The sequence below is a fragment of the Homo sapiens genome, chromosome 2 (genome assembly GCF_000001405.40).
Source record: "Homo sapiens chromosome 2, GRCh38.p14 Primary Assembly".
NCBI classification, from domain to species: Eukaryota; Metazoa; Chordata; class Mammalia; order Primates; family Hominidae; genus Homo; species Homo sapiens.
In genome coordinates, this window is record NC_000002.12 from 84209990 (window position 1) to 84231995 (window position 22006).

At 39.1% G+C, this 22006-nt stretch overlaps 1 long non-coding RNA gene across 1 annotated transcript in view, besides 1 other annotated feature; it reads right to left on the bottom strand.

Moving 5' to 3' along the window:
- Positions 1-22006, bottom strand: part of LOC107985905 (uncharacterized) — a 134425-nt gene that overhangs the window by 13557 nt on the left and 98862 nt on the right. The gene's annotated exons all lie outside the window — the stretch shown is intronic.
- Positions 8764-9263: an enhancer, noted in NCBI's record as "H3K4me1 hESC enhancer chr2:84445877-84446376 (GRCh37/hg19 assembly coordinates)". NCBI's record gives its function as "activates a minimal SCP1, AML or CMV promoter by ChIP-STARR-seq in primed H9 embryonic stem cells {active_cell/tissue: H9 hESC(primed)}" and the evidence as "EXISTENCE:reporter gene assay evidence [ECO:0000049][PMID:30033119]".

Sequence of the window (22006 nt, forward strand, 5' to 3'; positions counted from 1 at the left end):
CTATGGTCAACAAAAAATTCAGCTCCTAGTTAATATCTGATGAATCCCGGGATGACTCCAGAGGAGACTCGCTCAATAATCCAATAGCTCATTTCACTCTCATCCTACTCAGCTATCCCAGACATCCACTGCCGCCAAAGTGAAATATGATATTGATCTTGCACTGCATTGTTCAGTCTCTGTGAATCCTTGGGGGTCATTTGCCACTGATAGATTAACACAAGTGTGATAATCACTTCGGAAGTAAACTGTCAAGTACGTGCACTACCCTGGATGCTGTACTGAGCACCCAAGAAAATTGGCTTCTCCCTAAGGGGTGTGCTACATAATTACGTTTGATAAAACTCAAAGCTATGCTGTAGAAGCAGCGGTTACTACCAAAACATGCTACCGTTTGTGTCCTCTGAGATGGGGGTCTGTCTACCCCAGGCTTTCAATTTAGGATGTCTTGTTTCTTTCCATTTTCTGGGGATCTCCTAAGCCATAACAAGAATTTAACTTGAGGTTAAAGTAATAGTAACAGTAGAAAAAAGGAAAAATTGTGCTAGCCAAGTATTATACATTTTTATATGCATTACCTTGGAAAGGTGATATAGTAGTTGAGAGTAAGGACTCAAGAGCTAATCTGCTTGGCTTCAAATTCCAGCTTGCCACTCATTAGCTGAGCAAGTTACTTAACCTCTCTGTGCCTGTTTCTTCATGTGTGAAATTATCTTACACGTAGAACTGTTGTGAAGATTAAATTAGTTAATTTATGGGAAATACTTAGAATAGTGCCTGTCATGTAAGTACTCCTTAAGCATAGTTTTATCTTTCTTTAAAGAGATAGAGAAGGAAATGGAGATAGAGATGCCTACAAGTGTGCATATGTGTATTTGTATATATTTCATAGACTCTATGAGATACATATGATCAATAAATCCATTTCACAAAAAAGATCATGAGAGTTAGTGGGGTAGGAGGAACAGTGAGTGAATGGTAAAGCCAGCAATTAAACCCAGGGCTTTTTCACTCTACAGAATACGTTTTTAAATAGCAGGCACATTGTTAAGTGATATTTGTTAGTCAAGAAATGTTTGTTGAGTGCCAACTATGTGCCAAGCATTCTGTTAGGCCTGGAGCCATGGGACTCTTTTACTCAGAGCCAGAGCTGGGGAAATGATGAAAAAAAAAACCCACAATATGTTTTTTGTGTTCCTTCAATGATACTCTAACCAATAAAGTCAAAACCTTTATCCTCTGCTTTCGCTCTTGTGCCTCACTTAAGTAGATTCTCCCTGGGCAGCATTCTAGAAATCATTTTTTATTCTCATACCCATTTCCTTGATACCTATTCTCTGAGAGCCTTCATCTTTGTTAAGTAACAGCAAGCTGTTCTGGTTAACTCAAATGACAATTAGTTCCCTTCATGGAAGAAAATAGATTGGGAATGAGTAAGTGCCCCATAGGTAAGCACAAACTAAGGCTATATGGTGATGACATAATAGATTTCTAAATTAGATCATGAATTAGACTAAAGAGACTTCCAAATCCAAGATAACTCAATTATTCAATATGCTAAGATCAGCATTCTTGTTTATTAGATCAGCTCTCATGGTGAGATTTCTTGTACTATGGTTGCAATACTAGGAGAATGCATTGGATAAAATAAAAATTTAGTGGTTACCTATTTTTAATGCCCCTTAATCAACCATGATAGTTGGCCAGCCAAATCAATACCTTACACAGTGATCCATTTGAACTTGACATTGATTGTCAGGATACTTAGTGGTACTATATGTGATTCTGGTAACAAAAGAAAAGAAACTCTCTGTGATGTATGCGATCCCACCTCCAACTCCTAGGCAGTAGAATCAGAAAATCGATCTGATGATTGAAAGACTAGAAAGTATTTCACACAGTCAAATCAGCTAACTCTAATTAAATAACTTCATTCTTTTCCTCCAAAAGGCCCAATTGTCCAAACTTTATCCAAGCTAAATAATGCCCTATATTTTTCAAATTGATCTCCCAGGCTCTCTAAGTATGACTTTATCTCTTTCCTTCTCTACATTGGCAAGCTGTTAGAAAAAAGTTCAGGCTTACTGTGTCACCTCCTTGCTTCCCATCCCCTCTTTGCTATGTAAGGCCATTCTCCTTTTTTCACTTCCAGGCCACTGTGTATGTCCAATCTGTAATTTTGAACTGCCGCTCTGCTATCTTATGTAAATCATACTCACATCCCCTCTTTGAGATTTTTCCAGAATCCAGGATTTTTATGCACGGCTCTGACACTAAATCTGTCCCTATCAGTCCTAACTCCCAGGGCATGAACACAGAGATACTGTTCAAATTTCTGTCATAGTTTACCTATAAATGGAAGCAGAAAAATAGGGTATTAGCTGGAGAGTAATGGGGAGACTATAACTTTTTAAAAAAGAGATGTAAGATATTTTAGTATCTTTGCTGTTGGAAACGATCCAGCAGAAGTTAAAAAAATTAATAATGCAGGGGTACAGGGTACTTCCAGAAGCAAATTCCTTATACAAGCAAGAATTTACTAAAAGCAATCAGTTGTATGGGTGATTTAATCTTTGCCCAGAAAAACGGAGGATTTCAACCTGGAAACTTTTGCTGTCCTGTGTAATTTTTTATGAAATTTAAATTTTTACACATATTTCTAAAATTTTACCATAGTTTTTTTCAATGTGTTTGAACACAAAACCATTCAACCAACTTGCCCTCAAGTCTTCATAAAATGATTGCTTTCAAATTGAGAAGGGTAAAACCTTCTCTAGATCCCCAGATACTGACTCATAACCAGAGTGAGGCAAAGCCCCGAAGCCTCAAGCTTACTGAAGTTGTCTATGAATTCAGAAGCAAAATTCATTGCTATCCTTCCTGCTTCTAGGGGAAATTAGGTAAATGACTCTTACCCTTTACCTCTGCCACAATGCATAGTGTATATTTTCAAATATTTACATTCTTGGGCATGACCCCAGTCTTGATGAGTCTAAATCTCCTGGGACAGTAAACGCAAAAGGAAAAAATACAGAAATCTGCATTTTGTTTTGTGAACTCCTCCAGCTATTCCTGTGTGCACTGAAGCTCAAATCCTGAAATAGAGAAGCAAATATGATGATTTCCATTTTCGTTCCTGCTTTTAACCATGTGTGTCAGGCCCTGTGTTCGGCATTGAACATGCAAGTTTAGAACATGATGGTCCCTGCCTTCAAAGGGTTCACAACACAAAGGGAGAGAAATGGGAGCTAATCAAGGGCAATTCACAACGTGAAAGGCTTGTGACCAAGGAAGTCTAAGGATGCTGAGAAGGAATATCAAAACTGGGTTCAGCTGGGGGTGGGTGTGATGCCAGAAAGGCCAGGCTTGCTTTCGAGATGAGTTCTGAAGGATGAGCAAGAGCTAGCTAGGAAATGATATACCAAAATCTAAACAGAAATATTTCTGGTTCTTATTTAAAAGATTTTACTTGCAATTTTTTTATTGAGTTGCACAATGCATAGTAAGTTCTCATCTACAAAATATTTCTAGTTAAAAAATTGCTTTGGTATCATTTTACCAGTCTAGAAGTAACAGCTGAGGGTCTTTTCCCTTTAAAGTGATGGGAGGCCTCCAAAACACACATTTCTTGCCCTCAGACATAGAAAAGAAGGTTACAGAAAAGAGGTGAAAATTCAGCTCCACCTTAAAGAGGAGAAAAGAGCTTTTAGTTGGAACTTAAAGAGCAAGACTTAGAGAAAGAGGAGAGAGCAGAAAGACAAAATAAATTTAAATCTCAAGTGGAAATGTTCTACTCTGCCCATGCAGGTAGGAAGATAAAAGTTAAATAATACATAAAGGAAAAGTGTTTCTCTAGGTTTGAAAAATTAGAGGTGACAATGAAAACAGACTCCTCTATAAATTCCACATGAACCTATCCTGAGGGTTCCTGTTTGTCCTGGCCAGTCTGCCCTGAATTTCCCAGTGTAAGAGAACGGTATGTGCATGGTATGTGCACTATACATCTCCAAGTCCAACTTGACTTTTCCAGGGCAGACTCGACTTTGTGGTAAATTGGTGAAAATGGGTTATATATAATAAACTTTATTACAATGAAGATTTCTGCCAACAAAGCTGTTTTTACAGGTTAATGTTAGTGAACTATACATAAAAAACTTTGTTATCTAGTTGCAAATGATTCCTCTCTAAGAAAAATTAGTTATGTGTTAATAAAAACCCAGCTTGAAGGCTACGGGGAGCAAGGCCCCACACCCCTCTGCATTGGTTAGACCTGTCTGCAACCTGAATTCCTCTGCACTGAAGTCCTATCTGAAGTTCTAGTTTACCATTTTGAGGACAACTAGAAAACTACCACAATTTAGTCACTGTTGAAACCAAAATACATGAAAAACTAATAAAGTTCCCCTCAGAAAACAGATGGCACACTCATAACAGGGACCAAGGGGAGTTTAAAGAAGGACAGAGCTAAGGGAAAAAGAAGGGAGGTGAAGCATCCCCAAGGATACACCCCTAGACCTGAAGGGGCAAAGAGGGAGAGGTGACCAGAATCCCGTAAGTCCTACATCTGAAGGAACCCAGCAACCGCCAACACCTGTGCCAGCCATGGCACAGGGGAAGGGACTGGGGAATAAGGGCTAGCTTGCTGACATAGAGCTCCAGCCAGCACCTCCCACTGGCCAGAACAGAAACAAAAGAGAAGCAAACCTGTTGACTACAGGCCATGCCAGTTCCTGGGGCCCAAAGCAGATTAGAGAGGGGAAGAGTTGGGTTTTAGGAGCCAACAAAAAATACTCAGCACAGAATCAAAAGTCGACTGCTTGCTGGACATGAAAGCTGTCTTTTGGTATTTAAAGTCAATATGATCATATCACCAGTTTATTGAGGCATAAGTTCCTGATTGCCCTCGATGAGCAGCTTCTACAATCTCACGCAGACTCCTAACAGCTGGAAATACCTTGGTTAAAAACCTTCCAGTAGAAGATTCCACAGCTTACATAAAGAGTTTTTAACTCATTGGTCATGACTTTATCTACATTTCCAACTTTATTTCTTACTATTTCTCTGCTCATACCCAGAGATTTTGGTAAACTGGATTTTCAATGTTTCCTAATTCATGGTGTACCCTTTCTTACCATTCGAAATTCAGTTCCACATTTAAGATTCATTACTAATTCTACCTTCTCCACAAAACCTGATTTCCCACAATGTCTGATTGTCTAAGCCAGTTGTAATCTCTCCCTCCTCTAAACATAGACCTGTAGTTTAATCTCTTGAAGAATTTATCTTAAAAACCTGTGTGGCCGAGCATGGTGGCTTGTTCCTGTAATCCCAGAACCAAGGTGAGAGGATCGTTTGAGCTCAGGAGTAAGACACCAGCCTGGGCAACACAAAGAGACCCTGTCTCTATAAAAATAAAAATTAGCTGGGCATGGTGGCAATCCTGTAGTCTCAGCTACTTGGGAGGCTGAGGTGGGAAGGTTGAGCCCAGGAGGTCACTTCCCTGAATTGCTTTCAAATAAGTTGGTTATAGATTTGAATAAGCTTATTTAGCTCTCTCCAAAGAAGAAAAACTTATATCAAAAGAGGTATCATTATAGGTAGTAATGTTTTGGCTGAACATAAGATTTTATAAGACCTAACCATTGGATGGTTTTTGCCTTCAGCTCCTGCTAAATGGCAATATAATTTCAGACCATGTAATTTCAGAAGGCCCCATTAACTTTAGGAATATACATGTATTAGTGAGTGGGGATAAGTTAAAGGGGACATACCAGGTTTACCCAACCATTATTTCTTTGCTGGGAAAATTCCTATTCAGAAAAGGAGACAAGAAACTTTCACAGAACCAGGACCTGTCTCCAAGTGCCAGGATTTATTATTAAACTCTGTCCCACTAGATCATCTGTGATTCTTGGCAGATGAGTGGATACTGAAGTCTTTTCAATTACAATGACTAAAGAAAACTTCTTTGTAAGATTTAATAAGCACACCGGCTTCTTTAATGGTTTTTAATACGTGCTCAGGCAACTCAAATATTGCCATCACAGCATAAAATTCCAGAGTCTTCTGAATATATTTCATGCTTTTTTAATGACCTCATTAGACAAATCAGTTTTTTGGCAAAGCAGGGCTAAAAAAAATTAATCTCACAGTGATTTGTGATAGCCAATGATCAGACAATACAGAATACATGCTTTTGGAATTGCCAACCTATTACAATAATGAGAGAAGGGGTACAGAAAGCAGAAAAGCAAGATATTTACCTTACCCTTGAGGAGTTTATAATATACTTATATAGACAAAGTGAACTCAGACTATTGCAGCAAATGATACATAACAGCTCATAATCAAGAAGTACCATGATATGGGTGGGAAGTAGAGGGGAATGATAGTTTAGGGTTAGAAGAATAAGTTCTGTCTCTTATTTGCTGTGCATCTTCAGGACAGTTACACTATCCCTTTGAGTCCTCTTCTGGAAAAATACTTGCCTTACAAGGACATTTTGAGGATATAATAGGGAAATGTATGTGAAAGTAACAATAATAAAATGTAAATATCTATACATGTTCTGTCACTCCATAGGAATTTATTAGGAGCCCACTGCATGCCAAGTACCATCCCCAGCATGACTGGAGTTATAGATTTAAAAAACTACAGTTTTTTTTCCTCAAAGAAGTCAACTAAGCATAGTCCTATAGGTTTCCTTCAGAAAGGACTGGGAACCACAAGTGCTGTGATAATGAGAGGAATCGATGAAGGATAGTGGGACCTGCACTTTCTAGGCTGTGTAGAACATGTAGCTCCTCAACTTATAATGGAATTACTTCCTAATACACTCAACAGAAGTTGAAAATATCCTAAGTCAAAATGTATTTAATACACCTAACATAACAAACATCATAGCTTAGCTTAGCCTGTATTACAAGTGTTCAGAACACTGACATTAGCCTGTAGTTTGGCAAAATCATCTAATATAACGCCCCTTTCCTAATAAAGCCTGAATATATCATGTAATTTATTAAATACTGTACTGAAAGTGAAAAAAAAAACCAGAATGGTTGTATGAGTACTTGAAGTACGGTCTCTACTGAATGTGTATCACTGTGGCACCATCATCTAGTCAAAAATCATTAAGTCAAACCATCATAAGTCAGAGATTATCTACATAGATAGTTGGGGGAAAGGAACAGGGTTTTTTTTTTTTTTTTCAAGCAAAGAAGCAGGATTTCCTAGAGATAGGCAAGTCTGGCATATTTTTGAGTGCAGGTCCTGATTAGAAGAAAAAATAAATTGTGTCTATTTCAAGAGTCAGGATTATTGAGCTCAACTAATGCAAAGTAAAATAATTGAACAATTTTCACTTAAATCGGTAGTAACACTAAGGTACATATATATTAAATAGAACCGGCTGACTGCTCAGATTTGGGGAGTTCCGTACTTTTTAAGGCAAAAGGAGTCAATCTCAGAAATGTACACGGATATTAAGAAGTTAGTAACAAGGGAGATTTAGAGGACATCTGTGGCTCAACGCACCAAAGCTAGCAGAAGGACTTCATCTCAAATGCTATTTCCCATCAGCAGGTAGCGGCTGCCTGCAGCATCCCCTCAGGAAGAATACCAAGGCTTTGTCTGAGCTCTGTGGGACAGCGTGTCATGATGAAATATCGAAAGTAGCCTTGGGTATTGGACGGCAGAGGAACTGCTCAAGCCTTCTCTTTTCCAGTGCTGCTTACACCTGCCCCAGCTCCCTCCTGAGCCCTGAACATGGAGACATGACGTTTAGAATAATAGCTCTGAGGGCTTTCACAGTCAGTTTCACTAGATCAGATTCAATAAAGCAGGAAGGCCTGCATATCATCATCACATCCATTGAAAAAAGACGGTTTTCAGCTTAGCTTTTAGCAAAGCAAAATGCTTTCATTAGAACTTCCTAATAGCCCAGGAAAAAATGAGGCTTTACATTTGCATGAATGACTATCCAAGGACACAGATGAAGGGTAGTTTCTGACCTTGAATAGCTCACAGTCTACTGAGAGAAAAACAATATAAAAACAATATCAGAATAAACAATGAATTTTATAACATTTTTCAAAGGATTCCATTCTCTTACTTTGCTTAGGTTAATTTCAAGGCACAGAAAGGAAACACCAAACTTATTTCAATGTATCCAGACAGGATCTATGTGCAAACATGTTTTCTAATGAGTCCTGAAGCAATTAATGGTTAATCAACAGAATTCTCTCCATTTTCTGTCATTCTAATTCTTAATCCTTTCTGAGGGAGGGGCTTCTTCTTACTCTCTTGCCAGATTACCCTCAAATTTCTGGATACCCATAGCTACAGAGAGAGTAAAATCAAATAATTTATTGCCCATGTGTGAACTCCTCAAGTTTTTTATGAACATATACCATGATAGAAGTAGCAGAGTTTGTACAACTAGAGGAGAAACCAGTTTAAAAGGGCAACATTTTCAAATATGCACATTCTGCCACCTCATAATCACGGAGGGACAATTTCTAGGGTACCCCAAAAAAAAACCTACCCTGTGGGCAGGTGTGTTTTCTGACTCAGGATGATCAGTGTTGCTATTTGGAGCTCAGACATGATACAGATAGGGAGGAAGGACAGGTGGAGAGACAGACAAGGAGCTGACCCAGTTGCACTAGAAGAAGCTGTCCAGCTGCTCGCCTCAGTGGCCCAAAGCTGGCTGTGTCTGGGTAGTGGGCAGCAGACGACGGGCCACAGCTGCCACCTGGTGTTCTTGGGCCAAACAAGGACTGCAGCTTTTGGGCCTCTGGCTAAGACTGGCAAATGCGGCATGCTGCAGGGAATGCTTGTCTCATGCAGAAGGCAGAGAACGACCCTGGCAGTACTGCCTGGAGCACAGTTCTCAGAGGATCCCCCTGTACTCAGTCAGAAATAAATGAAACATCACATGCCCAAGAGCTGGAAAAGTTTCCTGCCCTTCAGGAAGTAGAGAAAAAGGCAACATTCCTGACAAAAATACTCATTCTAACTGATACCATAAGGAGTACAAAAAACATGCAATAAACTGCCATTTTATATTAGATATCTGCTACGTGTCAAGTGTTTTGCTAAAAACTTTATATGTATTATGTTCAATGTTTGCAGGTGTGATTAACCCCACTTTGTCCGTGAGAGGTTGTCACTTGTGCAACACACACAGTCAATAATGTTTGGCTTGGGATCTAAATCCAATTCTAAGTTGCACCAACTATCTTCTTTTCTTGCTGGGACTAAGTAGAGCATGCAGGAAAAACCTTTCAGGGATAGAAAAAGAAATGTGTAACAGTTCTGTTGGAGAATGTTCCAGGATATCATTTTTTTGTTTTTTTAAGAAAAATGTGTATTCTGCTTTTGTTGGGTGGAGTGTCCAATAAATGTCAAGTATAGTTGGTTTATAATGTTTTATAAGTCCTCTGTCTTAGTCTTTTTGTGCTGCCATGACAACATACCTGAAACTGGGTAATTTATAAAGATGGAAATTTATTTCTCACAGCTCTGGAGGCTGGAAAGTCTAAGATCAAGATTAAGGTAGTGGCAAGTTTGTTGTCTGGTCTGTGCTTTGAAGATGCTGCCTTGAATGCTTCATCCTTCAAAGGGGTAAAACACTCTATCGTCACATGGTGGGCAATGGAAATTGCAAGAGGGCTGAAGGCTGTGTGAAGCCTCTTTCATAAGGCCCTTAATTTCATTCACAAGTAAAGGAGCTCTCATAACATAATCACTTCTTAAAGGTCCCACCTCTTAATAACATCACATTGGCCATTAAGTATTTACATCTGAATTTTGGAGGGCACACATGATTATTGCATTCATTTTCTTGTTGACCTTTTCCCCTTTTTTTTTTTTGAGATGGAGTCTCACTCAGTCACCTAGGCTGGAGTGCAATGGCGCGATCTCAGCTCACTGCAACCTCTGCCTCCCGGGTTCAAGTGATTTTCCTGCCTCAGCCTCCCAAGTAGCTGGAATTGCAGGCACACGCCACCATGCCCAGCTAATTTTTGTATTTTTAGTAGAGACAGGGTTTCACCATGTTGGTCAGGCTGGTCTTGAACTCCTAACCTCAGGTGATCCGCCTGCCTCAGCCTCCCAAAGTGCTGGGATTACAGGTGTGAGCCACTGCGCCTGGCTTTGTTGATCTTTTCTTTAGTTTTTCTACCAGTACTGAAAATGGAGTAGTGAAGTCTGTAACTATTGTTGTTGAAATGTTGATTTCTCTTTGATATTAGTATAGCCACTCCAGTTTTCTTATAGTTACTGTTTACATGGTATATATTTTACCATCTTTTTGCTTTCAATCCATTTGTATATTTGAATATAAAGTGTTTCTCCTGTAAATAGACAGTTGAATTATGTTTATTTATCCAGTCTGACATCTCTGTATATTTACTGTATTATTTTTTTCACATTTAATATTATTGATATGATTAGATTTATATCTGCCATTTTACTTTGTGTTATCTATATGTCTTATGTCTTTGTTGTTCTTCCACTTCTCCTTTATTAAATCCTTTTTTCTTAAATGGATATTCTGGTGGAATATTTTGATTTCTTAATTTTTTTTTACTATTTTTTAGTCATTTTTATAATGGTTGCTCCAGAGCTTGTCATGTACATTTTAGCTTACCAGAATCTACTTTAGACTTACACCAGCTTAATTTTGGTGAGATATAGAAATGTCACTCTTCTATAGCTATATTTCCTCCTATCATTTTTTGTGCTATTATTGTTATATATATTAAATCTATGTTACAAGCCCAATAATGCATTGCTATATTCATTACTTTTTATGAATTTATGTCTTGAAGAAGCTGAGGAAAAAAAGGAGAGGAAATATTTATCTATAGTTTGTTATATTTGCCTTTTCTCCCTCTTTATTATGTCTTTAAAAATATTATTTACCATTTCTCACTTTTTAAATTTGTTTCATGCACATCTGTGTGAAGAGACCACCAAACAGGCTTTGTTTGAGCAATAAAGCTTTTTAATCACCTGGGTGCAGGTGGGCTGAGTCCAAAAAGAGAGTCAGCGAAGGGAGACAGGGTGGGGCTGTTTTATAGGATTTGGGTGGGTAGTGGAAAATTACAGTCAAAGGGGGTTGTTCTCTTGCGGGCAGGGGCGGGGGTCACAAGGTGCTCAGTGGGGGAGTTTTTGAGCCAGGATGAGCCAGGAGAAGGAATTTCACAAGGTAATGTCATCAGTTAAGGCAGGAACTGGCCATTTTCCCTTCTTTTGTGATTCTTCACTTCCTTCAGGCCATCTAGATGAATACATGCAGGTCACAAGGGATGTGATGGCTTAGCTTGGGCTCAGAGGCCTGACAGTTTGTATGGGTTTGTATTGGAGTCATTGTCTTAATCCAGTGTTCCTACTCACCCCCTTTCTGTTGTTATTGTCAAATATATTACATTTCTATATGTTGTGGCTCAACAATACAATTATATTCATATTGTTTTATACAATTGTTTTCTAAATCTGTCAAAAGAAAAACAAAAAATATGTATTATACTGACTTTTATAACTAAATAGTTACAAGTACCAGTGCTTGCTTTTTTAAAATGTAGATTCAAATTTACATCTGTGCTTACTTAGACTTAAATTTTTCTTTAGTATTTCTTGTAATGTGGGTCTGCAAGCAAAAAATTCTCTGAGTTTTTATCTGAAATATCTTTATTATGTCTTTAATTTTGAAAGATAACTTTGCTAAGTATAGAATTATTGATTCACACTTTTTTTTTTCCTTTCTGCCCTTTGAATAGGTTATCCTACTTCTTCTGGCCTTCATTGTTCTGATGATAAATGAACTGTCAATCTTATTGGAGCTCTCTTGTACATGACAAGGTTTTTTTGTTTGTTTGTGGTTTCATTTTATCTTGTGTTGTTTTGTGACAGCATCTCACTCTGTCATTCAGGCTAGAGTGATGGTGAGATCATAGCTCACTGCAGCCTTGAACTGGGCTCAAGCAATTCTCTCACCTCAGCCTTCCAAATAGCTGGGACTGTAGGTGCATGCCACCACACCCAGCTAATTTTTGTTTTTTGTTGTTTTTATTTTTGTGGAGATGAAATGTTGCTATGTTTCCCCAGGCTGGTCTCAAACTCCTGACCTCAAGTGATCCTCCCACCCCATTTTCCCAAAATTCTGGGATTACAGGTGTGAGCCCCTGTGCCCAAGCTCTCCTGCTACTTTCACCTTTTTTGTTTTTGTCTTTGGCTTTCAGCATTTTTTACTGTAAGATGTCTTAGTATGAATATCTTTGTGTTTCTCTTACTTGAAGTTTTTGAGCTTCTTGGATGTGTATATTAACGTTTTTCAGCAAACTTGAGAAATTTTCATCCATTATTTCATCAGCTAGTTTTTCTGCCCCTTTTCCTTTTGTCCTTTCTTGAGATACTCCCACTAAATATATGCTGTTGTGCATATTGTTGTCTCACATTTCTCTGAGGCTCTGTTCATTTTTCTTCATTCTATTTTCTCTGTTCTTTGAATGGGTCTATCTTAAATTCTCTGATTCTTCTGCCAGCTCAAATATTGTTGAGCCACTCTAATAAATTTTTCATTTTTGTTATTATGCTTTTTAACTGCATAATTTTAATTTTTGTTTTTATAGTTCTTATCTCTTTACTGATGTTCTCTATTTTTTGAGACATTCATTGTCTTCACACCTTCTACTACTTCTTTAAGTACTCTTTTAGTACTTTTAATATATTTATAATGTCTACTTTGAAGCTTTTGTCTGTTAAATCTGACTACTGGTCCCCTTCACAGGCCATTTCCATTGCCTCTTGTTTTGTTGTTGTTTTCTTCCTGTGTATGGGTCACATATTCCTGTTTTATTGCATGTTCTGTAATTGTTGAAAACAAGACATTTTAGGTAAAATATATTAATAACTCTATATATTGATTTTCTGTTCCCCCTCCAGGGCTTGTTTTTATTGTTCTTTTTTGTTTTGTGACTCAGGGAGGCTAATTTAGTCAAGTCTCTTTCTCAAAAATGTGAAGTATTTTGTGTTGTTCCTCAGAGAGCACACAATCACCGTGAAATAACAGGGGTTTTGACAAGGTCTCTTTGACTGTCTTTTTCCTGATATCTCTATTAAGCTGTAGCTTCATTTGGTGGTACATCCTGCCTGTTAGGCTCCACTAAACACCAGCTGATTGCTCTATTGTTTTTGACAATTCCCTAAGCATTATAATTTGATTTAATAAAATTTGAGAAGGGATCATATTTGAGGCCAGTCTTTGAGGTATTTCTCTGACCACAAGTAGGCTCACAACAAGTAGGCCCTTTTTTCTGTTTTTCTCTGTGGTGAGCCAGCTGGTCTATGGCTTAGCTTGTTTTTCTTTAATAAGTGGAGCTATCATTTTTTAGAATGCCCTTAGGCTTGAATCACTTCCTGTGGGAAAGAGCTGTGAAGTCTCTCATTCTTTTGGGCCGCACCTTCTCTGTGATAAACTCTCTGAAACACTACTCTGGATGTTGGGTGGTTCAGTAGCCCCTGGTCTTCTCCTCTTGTCTCACTAAGCGTAGAACCTCTGCCCTACAAGTGACCTGGGGTGAGAGCAGTCATGGCCCCAGCATTCTCCACTCCTGATCAGATGGAGGCTGTATTCCTATAGGCTTTTATATATAGGTTTCTATACCCCTTCAATATTAAGCAATTCATAAATGTCATTTTAATGTCTCCTTAAATCATATGATATTCAGAAGATTTTGTTTTTGTTTGTTTGCTTTAGGTTAATCGGCAGGGCTCTCTTTTATTTTAAATGTCAATGTATTTTAAATAATAATATTAACTTTATAATTCTTTCTTAAAAATTTCTTTTGTAGACTTCCATATAGCTATGTTTGGTAAAGCTAAGATATGGGCTGTGGAGGAGTTAATTTCAGTAAAATCGACTTCTGGAGAGAAGTCATTATGCGAGGTAAAGTGGCCTCCCTGGAAAATGGTTTCTTAGAGTATACTATGGATATAAATATTTTCAGTTTTTAGAGTCTCTGACATTCTGAGATATAAATCAAAACTAACTGTATTTGTAGTCTCTGTTTGCTCCTCCCCATCTCTTACACCTTTTTTATAGTAGAGCAGAGAACTGATTTTACACACACACACACACACACACACACACACACATCTGTGGTCTGTTTCCCTCCCTGGAATAGGTCCATTGTTCCTATGGAAAGTGAGGCTTATAAAATAAAGAAAAAAAACCCTTGGTTGCCTTTCACATAGATTATAAGGCTCAAGTTATAAAACATGAAGTAATATATCAACCCAAGGCTAAGCATATATCAACATAAGGACTTTAGTTGAAAGATCTGGGATTAGGAATAAGTGGAAAACTCAGCCTTGCATTGCTCCACATATCTAAGAGCCAGGCTCACACCTCCTTCAACAGAAAAGAGTCTAGAGAGTGAAGGAATATATAAGTTACTGAAGCAATCCCTGGAGGCCATGTTTGGGTGGTTGGACAAATAGTTTTCTTCAGAAACCAGCAATTCCTGGAAGTAAATCTCTTAGGCTAACCTGCTGCTTTACTTTAAAATAATAATGGTTATTATTGAAAAAATAATTGTGATTTAAGGAACAATGCTGGAAATATCTATGCACAATGTAAAAAAACATAGAGGTATAAATATTTTAAAATTTAAATCATATTCACAAGGGTGTTCAGATGGTAATTTACTATGACATCCAGACATGCATAAAAATTCCTGAATGGGGGAGAGGAGCCAAGATGGCCGAACAGGAAGAGCTCCGGTCTACAGCTCCGAGCGTGAGTGACGCAGAAGATGGGTGATTTCTGCATTTCCATCTGAGGTACCAGGTTCATCTCACTAGGGAGTGCCAGACAGTGGGCGCAGGACAGTGGGTGCAGCACAACATGTGCGAGCCAAAGCAGAGCGAGGCATTGCCTCACTCAGGAAGCGCAAGGGGTCAGGGAGTTCCCTTTCCTGGTCAAGGAAAGGGGTCACAAACAGCACCTGGAAAACCGGGTCACTCTCACCCCAATATTGCGCTTTTCCAACGGGCTTAGGAAATGGCCCACCAGGAGATTATATCCCGCACCTGGCTTGGAGGATCCTATGCCCACGGAGTCTCGCTGATTGCTAGCACAGCAGTCTGAGATCAAACTGCAAGGCAGCAGTGAGGCTCGGGGAGGGGCGCCCACCATTGCCCAGGCTCGCTTAGGTAAACAAAGCAGCCGGGAAGCTCGAACTGGGTGGAGCCCACCACAGCTCAAGGAGGCCTGCCTGCCTCTGTAGGCTCCACCTCTGGGGGCAGGGCACAGACAAACAAAAAGACAGCATTAACCTCTGCAGACTTAAATGTCCCTGTCTGACAGCTTTGAAGAGAGCAGTGGTTCTCCCAGCACACAGCTGGAGATCTGAGAAAAGGCAGACTGCCTCCTCATGTGGGTCCCTGACCCCTGATCCCCAAGCAGCCTAACTGGGAGGCACCCCCCAGTAGGGGCAGACTGACACCTCACACGGCCAGGTACTCCTCCAAGACAAAACTTCCAGAGGAACGATCAGAGAGCAGCATTTGTGGTTCACGAAAATCCGTGGTTCTGCAGACACCACTGCTGATACCCAGGCAAACAGGGTCTGGAGTGGACCTCTAGCAAACTCCAACAGACCTGCAGCTGAGGGTCCTGTCTGTTAGAAGGAAAACTAACAAACAGAAAGAACATCCACACCAAAAACCCATCTGTACATCACCATCATCAAAGACCAAAAGTAGATAAAACCACAAAGATGGGGAAAAAACAGAGCAGAAAAACTGGAAACTCTAAAAAGCAGAGCGCCTCTCCTCCTCCAAAGGAACGCAGTTCCTCACCAGCAACGGAACAAAGCTGGACGGAGAATGACTTTGACGAGATGAGAGAGGAAGGCTTCAGACGATCAAACTACTCTGAGCTACAGGAGGAAATTCAAACAAAAGGCAAAGAAGTTGAAAACTTTGAAAAAAATTTAGACAAACGTATAACTAGAATAACCAACACAGAGAAGTGCTTAAAGGAGCTGATGGAGCTGAAAGCCAAGGCTCGAGAACTACATGAAGAATGAAGAAGCCTCAGGAGCCGATGTGATCAACTGGAAGAAAGGGTATCAGTGATGGAAGACGAAATGAATGAAATGAAATGAGAAGGGAAGTTTAGAGAAAAAAGAATAAAAAGAAATGAACAAAGCCTCCAAGAAATATGGGACTATGTGAAAAGACCAAATCTGCATCTGATCAGTGTACCTGAAAGTGACAGGGAGAATGGAACCAAGTTGGAAAACACTCTGCAGGATATTATCCAGGAGAACTTCCCCAATCTAGCAAGGCTGGCCAACATTCAGATTCAGGAAATACAGAGAACATCACAAAGATACTCCTCAAGAAGAGCAACTCCAAGACACATAATTGTCAGATTTAACAAAGTTGAAATGAAGGAAAAAATGTTAAGGGCAGCCAGAGAGAAAGGTCGGGTTACCCACAAAGGGAAGCCCATCAGACTAACAGCAGATCTCTTGGCAGAAGCTCCACAAGCCAGAAGAGAGTGGGGGCCAATATTCAACATTCTTAAAGAAAAGAATTTTCAAATCAGAATTTCATATCCAGCCAAACTAAGCTTCACAAGTGAAGGAGAAATAAAATACTTTACAGACAAGCAAATGCTGAGAGATTTTGTCACCACCATGCCTGCCCTAAAAGAGCTCCTGAAGGAAGCACTAAACATGGAAAGGAACAACCAGTACCAGCCACTGCAAAATCATGCCAAAATGTAAAGACCATCAAGGCTAGGAAGAAACTGCATCAACTAACGAGCAAAATAACCAGCTAACATCATAATGACAGGATCAAATTCACACATAACAATATTAACTTTAAATGTAAATGGACTAAATCCTCCAATTAAAAGACACAGACTGCCAAATTGGATAAAGAGTCAAGCAAGACCCATCAGTGTGCTGTATTCAGGAAACCCATCTCATGTGCAGAGACACACATAGGCTCAAAATAAAAGGATGGAGGAAGATCTACCAAGCAAATGGAAAACAAAAAAAGGCAGGGATTGCAATCCTAGTCTCTGATAAAACAGACTTTAAACCAACAAAGATCAAAAGAGACAAAGAAGGCCATTACATAATGGTAAACGGATCAATTCAACAAGAAGAGCTAACTATCCTAAATATATATGCACCCAATACAGGAGCACCCAGATTCATAAAGCAAGTCCTGAGTGACCTACAAAGACACTTAGACTCCCACACAATAATAATGGGAGACTTTAACACCCCACTGTCAACATTAGACAGATCAACGAGACAGAAAGTTAACAAGGATACCCAGGAATTGAACTCAGCTCTACACCAAGCGGACCTGATAGACATTTACAGAACTCTCCACCCCAAATCAAGAGAATATACATTTTTTTCAGCACCACACCATACCTATTCCAAAATTGACCACATACTTGGAAGTAAAGCTCTCCTCAGCAAATTTAAAAGAACAGAAATTATAACAAACTGTCTCTCAGACCACAGTGCAATCAAACTAGATCTCAGGATTAAGAAACTCACTCAAAACTGCTCAACTACATGGAAACTGAACAACCTGCTCCTGAATGACTACTGGATACATAACGAAATGAAGGCAGAAATAAAGATGTTCTTTGAAACCAATGAGAACAAAGACACAACATACCAGAATCTCTGGGACACATTCAAAGCAGTGTGTAGAGGGAAATTTATAGCACCAAATGCCCACAAGAGAAAGCAGGAAAGATCCAAAATTGACACCCTAACATCACAATTAAAAGAACTAGAAAAGCAAAAGCAAACATATTCAAAAGCTAGCAGAAGGCAAGAAATAACTAAAATCAGAGCAGAACTAAAGGAAATAGAGACACAAAAAACCCTTCAAAAAATCAGTGAATCCAGGACCCGGTTTTTTGAAAGGATCAACAAAACTGATAGACCACTAGCAAGACTAATAAAGAAGAAAAGAGAGAAGAATCAAATAGACGCAGTAAAAAATGATAAAGGGGATATCACCACCGATCCCACAGAAATACAAACTACCATCAGAGAATACTACAAACACCTCTACGCAATTAAACTAGAAAATCTAGAAGAAATGGATAAATTCCTCAACACATACACTCTCCCAAGACTAAACCAGGAAGAAGTTGAATCTCTGAGTAGACCAATAACAAGATTTGAAATTGTGGCAATAATCAATAGCTTACCAACAAAAAAGAGTCCAGGACCAGATGGATTCACAGCCGAATTCTACCAGAGGTACAGGGAGGAACTGGTACCATTCCTTCTGAAACTATTCCAATCAATAGAAAAAGAGGGAATCCTCCCTAACTCATTTTATGAGGCCAGCATCATCCTGATACCAAAGCCGGGCAGAGACACAACCAAAAAAGAGAATTTTAGACCAATAACCTTGATGAACATTAATGCAAAAATCCTCAATAAAATACTGGCAAACTGAATCCAGCAGCACATCAAAAAGCTTATCCACCATGATCAAGTGGGCTTCATCCCTGGGATGCAAGGCTGGTTCAATACACACAAATCAATAAATGTAATCCAGCATATAAACAGAACCAAAGACAAAAACCACATGATTATCTCAATAGATGCAGAAAAGATCTTTGGCAAAATTCAACAACCCTTCATGCTAAAAACTCTCGATAAATTAGGTATTGATGGGACGTATCTCAAAATAATAACAGCTATCTATGACAAACCCACAGCCAATATCATACTGAATGGGCAAAAACTGGAAGCATTCCCTTTGAAAACTGGCACAAAACAGGGATGCCCTCTCTCACCACTCCTATTCAACATAGGGTTGGAAGTTGTGGCCAGGGCAATTAGGCAGGAGAAGGAAATAAAGGGTATTCAATTAGGAAAAGAGGAAGTCAAATTGTCCCTGTTTGCAGACAACATGATTGTATATCTAGAAAACTCCATCGTCTCAGCCCAAAATCTCCTTAAGCTGATAAGCAACTTCAGCTTATCAGCTTACAAAGTCTCAGGATACAAAATCAATGTACAAAAATCACAAGCATTCTTATACACCAATAACAGACAAACAGAGAGCCAAATCATGAGTGAACTCCCATTCACAATTGCTTCAAAGAGAATAAAATACTTAGGAATCCAACTTACAAGGGACGTGAAGGACCTCTTCAAGGAGAACTACAAACCACTGCTCAATGAAATAAAAGAGGATACAAACAAATGGAAAAACATTCCATGCTCATGGGTAGGAAGAATCAATATCGTGAAAATGGCCACACTGCCTAAGGTAATTTATAGATTCAATGCCATCCCCATCAAGCTACCAATGACTTTCTTCACAGAATTGGAAAAAACTAAAGTTCATATGGATCCAAAAAAGAGCCGGCATCACCAAGTCAATCCTAAGCCAAAAGAACAAAGCTGGAGGCATCACACTACCTGACTTCAAACTATACTACAAGGCTACAGTAACCAAAACAGCATGGTACTGGTACCAAAACAGAGATATAGATCAATGGAACAGAACAGAGCCCTCAGAAGTAATGCCACATATCTCAACTATCTGATCTTTGACAAACCTGAGAAAAACAAGCAATGGGGAAAGGATTCCCTATTTAATAAATGGTGCTGGGAAAACTGGCTAGCCATATGGAGAAAGCTGAAACTGGATCCCTTCCTTACACCTTATACAAAAATTAATTCAAGATGGATTAAAGACTTAAATATGTTAGACCTAAAACCATAAAAACCCTAGAAGAAAATCTAGGCATTACCATTCAGGACATAGGCATGGGCAAGGACTTCATGTCCAAAACACCAAAAGCAATGGCAACAAAAGCCAAAATTGACAAATGGGATCTAATTAAACTAAAGAGCTTCTGCACAGCAAAAGAAACTACCATCAGAGTGAACAGGCAACCTACAAAATGGGAGAAAATTTTCCCAACCTACTCATCTGACAAAGGGCTAATATCCAGAATCTACAATGAACTCAAACAAATTTACAAGAAAAAAACAAACAACCCCATCAAAAAGTGGGCAAAGGATATGAACAGACACTTCTCAAAAGAAGACATTTATGCAGCCAAAAGACACATGAAAAAATGCTCATCATCACTGGCCATCAGAGAAATGCAAATCAAAACCACAACGAGATGCCATCTCACACCAGTTAGAATGGCGATCATTAAAAAGTCAGGAAACAACAGGTGCTGGAGAGGATGTGGAGAAATAGGAACACTTTCACACTGTTGGTGGGACTGTAAACTAGTTCAACCATTGTGGAAGTCAGTGTGGCGATTCCTCAGGGATCTAGAACTAGAAATACCATTTGACCCAGCCATCCCATTACTGGGTATATACCCAAAGGACTATAAATCATGCTGCTATAAAGACACAGGCACACATGTTTATTGTGGCACTATTCACAATAGCAAAGACTTGGAACCAACCCAAATGTCCAACAGTGACAGACGGGATTAAGAAAATGTGGCACATATACACCATGGAATACTATGCAGCCATAAAACATGATGAGTTCATGTCCTTTGTAGGGACATGGATGAAATTGGAAATCATCATTCTCAGTAAACTATCGCAAGAACAAAAAACCAAACACCGCATGTTCTCACTCATAGATGGGAATTGAACAATGAGAACACATGGACACAGGAAGGGGAACATCACACTCTGGGGACTGTTGTGGGGTGGGGGGAGGGGGGAGGGATAGCATTAGGAGATGTACCTAATGCTAAATGACAAGTTAATGGGGGCAACACACCAGCATGGCGCATGTATACATATGTAACTAACCTGCACATTTTGCACATGTACCCTAAAACTTAAAGTATAATAATAATAAAAAAATTAAAAATTAAAAAAATATATATATTCCTGAATAAAGTTGCATTACAGGAAACATGAATCCAAGCAGCAAGCCTGGAAGTTCTTCCCCAGGTAGCCCTTCCCAGAGTGCGTTAGAGTAGAGCACTGAGTCCTCAAGAACTAAGAGAATAATTTATGGATGCCGATTGTTCAGTTCAGAGCCTGGGCCTTTCAGTACTCCATTCTAAGTATCTCCTCATTAGGTTGGATACTAGGAAACTGCATTCACACTGCCTACTGTAGCTTACTGCCCAATGTACCGAAAGAGTGATGAGGGTTTCCTGGGAGAAAGTAAACATCTGGTCATCCTACACTTATTTGCCCTGAAACTTTCCAATCCTTTGCCACAGTCCTCAAGATGGTGTTAGTATTTAGTGACTGACCATCTTTTATTATGGATGTCTAAGAATAATAACTTGATACCCTAAAGAAGAGTTTTACATTTTTTCACATAGGATTCCTAGAAGTATACTATATTATCTCAAAGAAATGAATTTCTAAGCATAGGGTTTGGAGGAACCGAATCAGATTTGGGGGCACCAAAGCATTTCTCTGTTGGTCCCAAATCAGATTAAAGTAACTGGGCAAACACAAAGCCCTCTTGCTCTGCTTGCTTCCTGACACTGAATTGGTCATTTATTGTCTCATAGCCACTACTAATTCAATAGGCCCATTTCCAGCAGGCATGTCACTAGAAGATGCAGCATTGCTGGTTCCAAAGCTGAGCAGCTCTATTTGCCAGGCATAAACCATCTACAAAATAGAGCACTGAATTGCATTGTTTATGCAACAGGAACAGAGAGAACTATTTAGCATGCAGATTAGGTCCATCTGCGTTTTCATCTCCAGCAGGGCACAGCACCCAGAACTCCTCTCTCTTACTCTCTCCCAATCCCTAAGAGACATTTATTTATCCCTCAATCTATAAATTAAATATTCACAAGATTAATATACCATAACTGGTATATTACTGTTAATTTTATCTCATAATTACCAGGGAAAAGCAAACTATATACCTCTGTAATTTTGAGGTCAATATCAAGACAGTCACTGACCACCTCTCACAC